Here is a 12,912-nt window from a genome sequence, read left to right as displayed (position 1 = left end):
AGCAAGACAAATATCTAGGAAGTTAATTGTAGAGGATTTTTTTATTGTTGGTATTGGGTTGTTATACTGTTTATTTTTGAATAAGACCATTGTGAGCCCATGAGGAGAGAGCTGGAAGACAAGGGAGCAAGGGCAAACTATAATAGCTATACAATTGTAATATACAATTGTCAGGAAGTGTCTGTGCCTTGGATCTTTGTAGAACCAGCACGGTCACCTATTAAGTCTACCTCCTTCTTCCCAACATATAAAATATTAGCAGCCACTTCTCCAGTTTCACCTTTTGCCTTTTATTGCCATTTCATTCTCTAAAGAATACATTTTCTTTTTCAAGGTTAACTTTGTTGATACTAGTTTGTTCACTACTCACAAAAATGGAAAAAAATGAAATTTAAGGGACATACTATCCAAAGACAAGCACAATTCCCATGGTAATAATCTGAGACAGAGCCCCAGTTCATATGGAAAAGTTGCTATTCAAGAAAATCTCCTAAAATTTCTGATCACTCTATTTTGTGTTTTCTTTTTGAGTTATCTGGTAAATCTGTTAAATCTAACAAATGAAAATGGACACTATGTTTTATATTGTAGAAAACTTCAGTTTAATGGATTTTTAAGTAGTTTTTGCTGCCTGTTGCTGCTATTCTATAGAAGGGCATCCAGAGTGACCTGCTATCCATAAAGATGGACTAGAAAAAGCAAAACCCACAGTTTATATGAAAATGCAGTAGTACTATCAGCATAGCCTGTCTTATATCAGTTTCAATCACGCCCTCTTGTGTAAAAGTGTAGCACAGCAGCAGCTTTCATTGTAAATAGAAATAACATTGAATACCGAGCACCTACCATGTTCAGGCTTTATGCTAAATGCCAAGAATATAGCTGAGGACAGACCTACAAAGTCCTCATATTCATGAAAGTTATTCAGGACTCATTTTAATAACTCTGGAAGTTTAAATTCTATTCCAAAACCTCTATGAATATGAAGCATTTCACTGTATGGTACAAATAGTTTTATCAATAAAAGAGAAGTATTGTCAATAATTTCTTTGGCATATAATCTTAAATTATTTATTCAGTATGCCTCTAAACTTTTCTCTTTAGCTTCCATTGGTAAATTTTAGAATACACTGACTAAGTTTTACAGCTATTTTTTTACAACAATATATTCTTCAATACAATACCTTGTGATATTTAATTCTAAAGCCCTTATTTAATCTTAGTGTTAGTTGTCATTGGAAAGCCTCTGAGGCTATAATTTCACAGTTTATGATCCCAGGAAAACTTCCTTTATTAATTTACAGTCAAGAGACAGCGCTTTACTCTGTTATTAAAATTGAAATTCCCTAAATCTCATTATATATTCTTACCATCTGCATTTTTATGATTCTTGTCTAAAGAAATCTTAAGAACATCTCAGTTCTGATATAAATTTTTCAGACTTTACTGTCTGGCTTTTTTGTCTTTCAAAATCAAAAACTCTTGTTTTAATTTAAAAGAATAGTGACTAAATTGAAATGGCAGCATATAAATGATGTTTTATGTTGCTCAGAATGAACCTTCCTATAATAAACGCAAATATGATAAGATGTAAACCATGGTGGACAGGTTTGGTAAAATTAGATTTTAATAAAATATTTAAATCAATAATCATTCATGCTAGCTTTTGATTACACAAAGACTATTGCTTCACCATTAGCAGTTAAATCATCTTATCTCTGCAACAGGCGCTTGTTCCTTCATTTCTACTTGTGAACACTGCACCTTGCTCATTTAATCAATTGTCCTCTTACTCTTTCTGTGATAAGCCTTTATTCTACTTCAGTGTTTGTGTGGAGGGGGACAATCTGGTTAAAGTTAGTCTTGCAAGTGGTGACTTTAGCATTTCCCCCAACTTCATCAAGCCTAAAATGACTGAAATAAACGTAAAATTTAATTAAAAATAATTAGCCTGCTATGCAAATGTATCTTCAAGTCAGTTTCCCCATCTCTCCTTATAACCAGATGGCTGACTAAAATCCCAAATCACATTAACAATCTAAATGCCCCTTTCACCCTCTTAGACTGTACATTTTCTGTAAGAAGTGGGTGATGTGAGCATATTCCACTTTCCTGTAGGAAGGCTTTTATTCTATCTGATTATATTTTCAACTATCTGGCTAAAATTATGAATGAAAGCTTATTAAACCCTTAGACATCCTGTATTGCTTGCCTTGTCAATGGAGGCCCAACTCATGAGCTAAGAAACCTGATCTGACACACATTTTCTCCTGCATGAGGCAAAATGTGTGGCAACACCTTTGCTCAGGAGCATGAAACCCATCTTGGAACATATATCCAACATCTCTGAGAGCCTTGTCATCATTCCTGAGGGTACAGGGAACAAAACAAGGCCACATCCTTTCTCCGATGCATTACGGCAGATGTGTATCCATTAGCAATAGCTACCATGATGTGCAATAAGTGAACACAAAGCTCAATCAGATTAGAAAGGAAGTAGAATAAGGAAGTAGAGAATTAAGGTTATTTTTGCAGTCAGTATGCCACAAGATGGCAAGTAATTATTTCTATAAAATTATCTTCTTTCTGAATCAAATCTGACCTTATTTTTGCTTTTATTACATAATCTGAGCAAAAAAATTTATACACAAACACATGCATATACAAACTTTCTGGGTACCCTTTAGTAATATACACGCGCTCGCTCATGCTGATCTACATTTCTTCAGTTTCTACTTCTAGCACCAAGATCCTCCAAGATTTTGACTGACTTCTCATCTACGGGCTTACAAATGTTTTCAATTTCCTTTTACATAATTCAGACAAGAAAAATGAAATACAAAATATTAAGAAAGACATTAACCTTCAATTTATATGAAACTTCCAAATAACATCTTTTTATTTTTATTTCCTGAGAATTTTGAACTTGATTCCATGAACACAGTATTTTTCAATCAGGTTTTATGCTTAACACAGTTATAAATAATTGCTGATAATGACTTTTTAATAAAGATCTCTCTGAAAATTTAATACTCACCCTTTATAGAGAGCAAACAAGTTGTAACAACTGGCAGAAGAAAATGTATTGCTTTTTCACCAACCACAGCAACACATTTTTCAGCATTAGACAGAATTTGGGTAATGAGATTTTACTGAATTGTATTGGAAGGGGCCAACCATTCTTTAAATCCAGCTGAGATCATTCATAGGGATTTGATTTACCCTCTTGACTTAACTAAGGAATGGGACAAAATGTATGAAACAACATCTTTGAAAACACTGGACATTCAGCAGTGAAGGACAGAGTTTCCTAAGTGATGAGGAACAAAAAAACGAGCCCTACGGTTGTCTTAGATTAATGTCTACAGAAAGTTTCCATGTTGTAGTATAGGGCAAAGGAACTCAGACAGAGACCCACTGTCTCACTGTTGAGAGGACAGAACTGGGAGTCCAGGAAAGCCAAGGTGGCTAAGTTTGCAAGGCAAAGAACCAAGAGGAGAGAGCTACACAGAAAGAGAACTCTGGAGATCTCTGCACAGTAAGAGAACTCTGGAAGTGTTCCCCTGGAGGATTCAGCTGAGTATTGATCAGCACAAGTATCTGAGGAAATTATGTGAGCCTAGGGAAAGAGATACCTGAAAGGTTAGAGAACAGTGTCTGAGGCACATGTAGGGAAAGACGTATTGTCTGTACCCACAACTAGAAGAGAAAACACCATAATTCATGAAGTAAAGTTTAGAATACTAAGAAAGTTCTTACTTCCGTAATAGGGAAAGTTGACCTTAGAAAAAAGCCCTGCTCTAATCCTACCTAAAGATGAATAAAAACAAGTCTGAAATGGACCAAACGATTTCCTAACAGTTCTAAGTAACTTAGCCATGTCCCAAAACAAATCTCAAGGATATTTTTAGGAAAACAATAATATCCAGCACTCAAAAAGGTAAAATTCACAATGTGACTATCAAATGGAAAATTAACAGGCACACAAAGAAGTAGAAAAGTATGTACAATAAAAGGAATAAAAGTTGATCAATTTAAAGATAATCAGAAATAACACAAATAATAGAATTAGTAGATAAGAATATAAAAACATTTATCATAACTCTATTCCATATTTTCAAGAAGTTAAAGAGAAAATTTTCAAAAGGAAAACCTAGCAAACTCTATCAGAATCAATTGTTTCAAAACTCTATATATTAACAAAAGACTTGCAGAAACCTGGGGATGACTTACTCAATGAAAGTGGCTAAATATTAGTAAGAATAGTGAGTTTTGTGGTGTTTTAGCATACCCTAGGCACATCTTCACTCCCCAGATCAGTGGCAGAAACAAGGCTGCAGCACTTTCAAAGCCTCATTTCGAAAGAACAGCCATACTTAGCCTGTTTGTTTAAGACAGAAGAACTGTGGAAGAATCCACTGAAAGACTTGTCTTTATTTTGCCTAACTCAGAACTCATCTAGTGATAAAGTCACTACCAATAGGAAGGAGGCATTTGTCAAAAATTCTTAACAGGCAAACTGTTTAGTTGCTGCTGGCTGAGTTGATGGTTAATACTTGGGGTAAACAATAGATCAACCAAAAAACATGGAAATGCTGGGGAATAAGATATCATTGGAGACTTGAAAACTCCAACATGTTCTTTGGAATCTAGAATGTCAAACACATGCATAGGTTGATGTACACGCTCAACAAAGACCCGAGAGACCCCAAGCTCTCACCCATGGCTAACCTATAGGCTCTGTGCAAGGAGGAAGTAAAGGCTAAAGCAGAGTTGTAAACTGCCTGTGTTGCAGGTGTGTCCCAACACACACACACGCACACACACACACACACACAATCACTCAGCAAGGACTGTGGAATTATTCAGACATTTAAGGGAATCTCTGCGTAATCATTATCTGATCATTAGGCTAACAGAACAGAGATTTCAGTGGCCACACACATGAAAGAATTTACTTGTGACTTTTGTGCAGAAAAGTCACTAAACAAACAAACAAACAAACAAACAATTACTACAAACAGCAACAAAAAACTCTGGAAACTAGTAAAAGAAGAGAAATCTTAAGCCAAAGCAAGCAGAAGGAAGGGAATAATAAAGAGGAGAGTGGAAATAAAAGAAATAGGAAATAGAAAAATAATGCAGAAGAATCAACAAAACCAAAAGTTGGTTTTTTGAAAAGATCAACAAAACTGATGAACTTTTAAGAAAAAAAAAAGAAAATGATTCCAATAACTAAAATCAAGAATGAAAGAGAGGATATTTCTACCAACCTCACAAAAACTAAAAGGATTAGAAAGAAGTACACTGAATGATTATATGCCAACAAACTAGGTAATCTAGATTATATGCCAACAAACTAGGAATCTAGATGAAACAAATTCCTAGAAATGCACAAACTACCAAAACTGACTCAAGAAAGGAAATCCAAATAGATAAATAGTAAGTAAAGAGACTGAATTAGCCATCGAACAACTTCTAACAGATAAAAAGCCCTGGAACAGACCATTTCACTGGCAAATTCTAGGAATTAACATCAGTTTTTCTCAACAAAAAGAGGAGAGTAAACTTTCTAACTAATTCTATGAGGCCCATATTACTCTGATACCAAAGCCAGACAAAGACGTCAAAAGAAAAGAAAACTACAGATTAGTGGCATTACAAAGATAGATGTTAAAATCCTCAACAAAACACTAACTAACGAAATCCAGCAACATCTAAAAAGAATTGTACATTACCAAATGAGATTTAGCCCACGTATGTAAAGTTAGTTCAATATAAGGAAAATCAGTGTAAACACCATTTAATAGACTAAAGCAAAAAACCCAATAGTTATCTCAACAAACACAGAAAAGTAACAGAATCCAATACACTTTTATTTAAAAAAGCCCTCAGCAAACTAAAAATAGAAGGGGACTCCCTTAATCTGATAAATGGCATCCATGAAAAACACACAAACCTCATGCTTAATGGTGAAAGACTGAAAGCTCTTCTCCAAAATTAGGAACAAGACAAGGATGTCTTGTATTAAATATTGCTGTGGAGGTTCTAGCCAGAGCAAATAACATGAAAAAGGAATAAATGTCACTCAAATTGGAAAGGAAGTAAAACTAACTATATATAATCTTACATATAGAAAATCCTTACACACACACACACACACAGACACACACACACAACTCTTATAGCTAATAAGCTAGTTCAGCAAAGTTGCAGAATACAAGACTGACATTTAAAACTCAGTTGTTTTTTGTCTTTGTTTGTTTTGCTTATTAACCCAGTCCTGGCTTTATTTTTATTTTTTAAACACAGTTTAATTGAGCAATGAATTATTTGCAAGTCTAGAAGTACTGGCTTTATGGATTGTTTTGGGCACCATGATCTTTGACATATGAGTATTTTCATTTTGTTTTGCTTTGCTTTTTGTTTTGCATTTTGTTGTTTTTAAAATAACTTCAACTTTTTTCTTAGATTAAGGGGTACATGTGCAGGTTTGTTATTTGGGTATATTGAGTGACATTGAAGTTTGGGGTATGAGTGATCCCATCACCCACTAAGCATAGAACCCAATAGGTAGCTTTTCACCCCTCCCTCTCCTGACTAATAGAACCTAGTGTCTATTTTTCCCATCTTTCTGTCCATGTGCACTCAAATGTTTAGCTCCCACTGATAAATGAGAACATATGGTATTTGGTTTTCTGTTCCTGCATTAATTTGCTTAGGATAATGGCCTCCAGCTGCATCCATGTTGCCGCAAAGAATGTGATTTCATTCTTTATTGTGGATGCCTAGTATTCCATGGTGTGTATGTATCACATTTTATTTATCCAATACACCATCGATGAGCACCTAGGTTGATTCCATGTCTTTGCCATTGTGAATAGTGCTGTGGTGAAAATACAAGTGCATGTGTCTTTTTTGGTAGAAAAATTTAATTTCCTTTCAGTATACATGCAAGTAATGGGAATGCTGGGTTGAACAGTAGTTCTGTTTTAAGTTCTTTGAGAAATCTTCAAACTGCTTTCCATACTGGCTGAACTAATTTAAATTCCCACCAACAGTGTATCAATGTTCCCTTTTCTCCATAGCCTTACCAGCATCTGTTATTTTTTAAACTTTTAATAATAGCCATTCTGACTGGTGTGAGATGGTACCTCATTGTGGTTTTGCAAAACCTGTTGTGTTCTTGTACATTAGCAAAGAACAATGCAAATATGAAATTAAGAAAACAATTCCCTTTACAATAGCATCAAAAAGATACTTAGGAATAAATTTAACCAAAAAGGTTCAAGACTTATGTGCTGAAAACTGCAAAACATTGCTGAAAGAAATTAAGAGCTAAATAAGTGGAAAGACATCCTGTGTTCATGGACTGATCGACTTAATATAGTTCAGATGGTAATACTCACCAATTGATCGATATATTCAGCATAATTACTATAAAATTTCAATGGCCTTTTTTTTTCCAGAAATGGTCAAGCTGATCCTAAAATTCACATGGAAATGCAAGGTATCCAGGATAGCCAAAACAGCCTAAAAGAAAGACATGGATGACTCACATTTTCTGATTTTGAGCTTTATTACAAATTGATCTTAATCAAAATAGTGTGGTTCTGGCATAAAGATAGACATGTAGCTCAATGGAATAGAACTGAGAGCCCATGTTTCTGTGGTCAACTGATTTTCAGTAAGTTTGCCAAGGGGGGAAAGAACAGTCTTTCAAGGGGAGAAAGAACAGTCTTTTTTATCTATGATGCTTTAACAATTGAATGTCTACCTGTAAATGAATGAAGTTGAACCTCTACCACATACGATATATAAAAATTAACTCAAAGACTTAAATGTAAAAGATAAAACTACAAAACTTTTATAACAGATCATAGGTGTGAATCTTCCTGACCTTGAGAATTTTAAGATTTGAAGTCACCGCTTCCCTTTCCTCCCTGGTTAAGGGAACAGCTCCCACAGCAGCTGCTCATGACCTGTGCCCTGACTGATCCCTTCCACCCCCGTTCCCTTGGCACCCTGTTTTGGCCACTGTGTAGGGCCACAGACATACCCTAAATGTTAGCCAGTGTAAACAGGATAGTTCTCAAAAACAGCGCTTATCAAGCTATCTGTGGTGAAGGATATATTTTTTTTAAATTTTCAATTTGTCACAAACCAGTGCTTTTGTAAAATATGATAAAAATGAATAACTGGAAAAATAAAAGGAAAAAAGACACAAAATACAAGCCCAAATTTTTCTAGTTACATAGCTAGCACATCAAAATCATGACATCTGAAGAAAAAGTAGATAAACTGGACTTCATCAAATTAAAAAAATGTTTTTCCTTCCAAGGACAGTATCAAGAAACTGAAAAGATAAATCATAAAATAGGGAAATATTTCTAAATCATATATCTGATATGGCTCTACTATTGAGAATATATGAAAACCTCTTATAATTCAACAATAAAAAACAAATAGCCCAATTTAAAAATCAAGAAATGATTTGAATAGACAGTTCTCCAAATAAGATATCAAAAGTGCAATTATCACATGAAAAGACGCTCAACATCATAAGTCTTTAGAGAAACGCATATTCGAATCATTTCATATCCACTAGAATCACTATAATAAAAAAGATAGAAAATAACAAGTGTTGGCAAGGGTGTGAGAAATTTTTAATCCTCATGCATTTTTGGTGGAATATGAAATGGTACAGTTGCTGTGAAAACAGTTTGGCAGCTCTTCAAAAAGTTAATCATCTAGTTACCATATGGCTGAGGAATTCCACTTCCAGGTATATATCCAAGAGAATTGAAAATAAATGTTCACACAAAAACTTTTGTTTAAATGCTCATAGCAGCAGGAAACAATCCAAATGTCTATTAACTAGCAAGTAGATAAACAAAATGTGGTATATCAACACAATGGAATATTACTCTGCAATAAAATGTAATGAAGTACAACATGGATGGAGCTAGAAAATATGGTGCAAAGTGAAAGAAACAAGACAAAAAAAGGCCACATATGGATTCCATTTATATGAAATATCTAGAATAGGCAAATCCACAGAGAGAGGAAGTATACTAGTGGTTGCCAGGAAATCAGGTAGGGGAGGGAGAATTGGAAGTGACTGCTAACAGGTGATGAGGTCTCTTTTGATGTGGGGTGGGGGATAGAAATAGAAAAACAGAATTAGATAGTGGTGATGGTTACATATCATTGTGAGTATACTGAAAGTCACTGAACTGTATACTTTAAAAGCCTGAGTTTATAGTATGTGAATTACATCTCGATGAAAATTATGTAATAGATAACCTGAATAATCCTGTATTTATTCAGGAAATTGGATTTATAGTTAAATTTTTTCAAAAAAGAAAACTCTATGTACGTACGGCTTCTCTAGTGAATTCTATCAAGTATTTAAAGAATACATTATGTTACTATAATTCAACACAAATTATTCCAAAACATTGAAGAGGGAAATTTTCCCACTCAATTTATAAGTTTGTTATTACTATGATACTAAAACTAGACAAAGACTTCACACACAAAAAAAAACTAATAAACAAAAAAACTATGGACTGATATCCCTCATACACATAGGTGTAAAATTTTTAAACAAAATTTTAGAACATTGAACCCAACAATAAATGTATAAGAAAGACCCTGACCAAGAAAAACAATGACCAAATCTAATTTTCTCCAGCAATAAAAGTGCACTCAACATTGAATTCACCAACATATTAGAGTGGAAAACCATACAACCATTTCAATAGATACATAGAAAGTGTTTGACAAAATTCAACATCCATTGTTGATTAATAAAACAACTATCAGCTATTAGTGAAATGCCTGATACCAAGGCTGGGTAGGAAAAATACAAGGTACACTCAGAGTCGTTCCGTGTTGGAGTCTTCATAACATACAGTCATGCATCACTTAATTATGGGGATACATTCTGAGAAATGCATCTTCAGACGATTTCATTATAGTGTGAATGTTATACAGTATATGCACACAAACCTAGCATATATACACAAACTACACATATATGGTATAGCCTATTGCTCCTAGACTACAAACCTGTACAGCATATTACTGAATACGGTAAGCAATGTAACACAATGGTATATATTTGCATATCTAAACAAAGAAAAGGTATAGTAAAAAAAAAAGTATAAAAATTAAAAAATATTAACAGTACACCTGTATAGGACATTTACCATGAAAGGAGCTTGCAGGACTGGAGGGTGCTCTGGGTAAGTCAGTGAATGAGTGGTGAGTGAATGTGAAGACCTAGGACATTACTGTACACTACTGTAGATTTTATAAACAATGTAGAGTTAGGCTACACTAAATTTATAAAACGATGTTTTTTTTCTTCAATAGTAAATTTAATTTCCTGTAGCTTTCTTACTTTATATTTAAATTTTTAAAAAACTTTTTGGCCGGGAGTGGTGGCTCACGCCTGTAATCCCAGCACTATAGGAGGCTGAGGAGGGGGGACCATGGGGTCCGGAGATCGAGACCATCCTGGCTAACACAGTGAAACCCCGTCTCTACTAAAAACACAAAAAATTAGCCGGGTGTGGTGGCATGCGCCTGTAGTCCCAGCTACTCGGGAGGCCGAGGCAGGAGAATTGCTTGAATCTGGGAGGTAGAGTTTGCAGTCAGCCAAGATTGCGACACTGCATTCCAGCCTGGACAACAGAGTGAGACTCTGTCTCAGAAAAAAAAAAAACTTTTTGACTCTAGTAACAACGTTAAGGTTAAAACACACATTGGAGAGCTGTCCAAAAATATTTTGTTTCTTTATATCCTTATTCTATAAGTTTTTTTATTTTAAAATCTATTTTTAATTTTTTTCCTATTCAAATTTTTTTGTTAAAATGAAGACACAAACACACATGTTAGCCTAGGCCTACACAAGGTCAGGATTATCAATCTCCCTGTCTTTCACTTTCACATCTTATCCCACTGGAAGTTCATCAGGGCAATAATGCACATGGAGCTCTCATCTATAATAACAATGCCTTCTTCTGGAATACCTCCTGAAAGACCTCCTTGAGGCTGTTTTATAGTTAACTTTTAAAAATATAAATAGGGCCAAGCATGGTGGCTCACGCCTATAATCCCAGCACTTTGGGAGGCCGAGGCAGGCAGATCACGAGGTCAGGAGTTCGAGACCAGCGTGGCTAATAAGTGAAACCCCGTCTCTACTAAAAATAAAACAAAATTAGACGGGCGTGGTGGCAGCTGCCTGTAATCCCAGCTACTCAGGAGGCTGAGGCAGGAGAATTGCTTGAACTCAGGAGGCAGAGGTTGCAGTGAGCCAAGATTGTGCCATTGCACTCCAGCCTGGGTGACAGTGCGAGACTCTGTCTCAAAAAAATAAACAAATAAATAAAAATAAAAATAGAAATAGAATGAATACACTCTAAAATAATGATAAAGAGTATAATATAGCAAATACATATACCAGTAACATAGTCATTTATTATCAAGTATTATATCCTGTACATAATTGTATGTGCTAGACTTTTATGAGACTGGAAGCACAGTAGGTTTACACCTATGTAGCCACAAACACGAGTGGTGTTGCTCTACAACTTTACGTTTACTACAATGTCGCTAGGTGATAGGAATTTTTCAGTTCTGTTATAATCTTATGGGACCATTGCCAAATATCCAGTCCATTCTTTACCTAAACTTCCTTATGTGGCACATATCTGTAATTCAAGACTGTAATTCAGTCTCCACCTTTCTACAGCATTCTTTCTAAAACACGTATGTTCTAGTCTCTTATCTTCAATTCATAAAGCTTAAGTGACTCCCTATTGCCTACAATACAAAGCCTAAATTCTATGCATAGCCTACAAACTACTTCATCATTTTACCTCAATCTTTTTTGGAGAGACAGGGTCTTGCTATGTTGCCCAGGCTGGTCTCCAACTCCTGGGTTCAAGCCATCCATGCACCATGACCTCTGAAAGTGCTGGGATTACAGGCGTGAGTCACCGAATCTGGCCAAAAATCGCTTTTGCAAACTTACTGAAGGCGATAGTACTAATAAACCTGTCTATTATCAGTATGTGAGCAATGTTGCTGTTTGAAGCTAAATCAACGAGAATGTAACATCCTACTCTTCACTAAAGGATGCAAGAGGAGTCATTACATTCAAAGAAGCAGGCTGGATTTACAACCCAGGTGAAAAACTTCATATAACGAGTTTGAGGACACAGCGTTTTACATTTTTTTAACTTGTAGTTTCCACAGAAACAGAACCTTAAGTTGGCTAGGAGTCAAGATTGTATTGTTCCTAACAGAACCCTAAACGGTGTTATTAATGGAACAGTGTTCCTGATGGAACATGGTGAAGACACAACACACTTTTCTCCTTTTGAATGATAGCTGCTTTCTTTACAATAATTTCCACAGCCCAATTCCTTCCCACTCCTGTATAAACATCTGTGATACCCAGCTCAAAGCTGATTCCAGCTTCCCCTATCCCTTTCTTAGACTCATTCAGCAAAAGCCAGTACCCTATTATATAGTGTTTTCTCTTACTGAGACGCTCCCGATTTCCCATGGTACTGTTTGCCCTTTTGCAAACTTTGATGAGTTTTTTGACACAAGACGCTTATCTGTCATTGCGTTTGCAAATATGCATTCAATAGCTTGGAGTAGAGAGAGAAATGTATTCATAAATGGCAAATATATTCATGTTGCCAAACAGCAACATAAGCAACAAAGTACGTGTGAGCACTACGGTCTTACATACTAAATCTCATAAGCCTAAAGAATCTACTGCAAATCCCTCTTTGAAAGATGGGGGGGAGGGGAAAGTAGCGTAAAGTGATGACCCAGAAACTGCGATCTTCCAGGCAAGAAGAGCGCCCAGCCGCACCGCACTCGGACCGA

General features: G+C 35.5%; 1 long non-coding RNA gene across 1 annotated transcript in view, besides 1 other annotated feature; it reads right to left on the bottom strand.

Annotated features, from left to right (window-relative positions):
- Window positions 1–7,606, bottom strand: part of LOC105374439 (uncharacterized) — a 45,914-nt gene extending 38,308 nt beyond the window's left edge. Inside the window, exon 1 of the long non-coding RNA XR_925277.3 lies at window positions 7,410–7,606. This is a non-coding gene — a long non-coding RNA (uncharacterized LOC105374439). The remainder of the gene's footprint in view (window positions 1–7,409) is intronic.
- Window positions 12,700–12,829: an enhancer, noted in NCBI's record as "active region_21527". NCBI's record gives its function as "activates an Ori minimal core promoter by ATAC-STARR-seq in GM12878 lymphoblastoid cells {active_cell/tissue: GM12878}" and the evidence as "EXISTENCE:reporter gene assay evidence [ECO:0000049][PMID:35858748]".

This window comes from Homo sapiens, chromosome 4 (assembly GCF_000001405.40).
Source record: "Homo sapiens chromosome 4, GRCh38.p14 Primary Assembly".
Classification (NCBI taxonomy): Eukaryota; Metazoa; Chordata; class Mammalia; order Primates; family Hominidae; genus Homo; species Homo sapiens.
The sequence above is the reverse complement of the archived record's forward strand: the minus strand, read 5'-3'. Positions and strand labels throughout refer to the sequence as shown.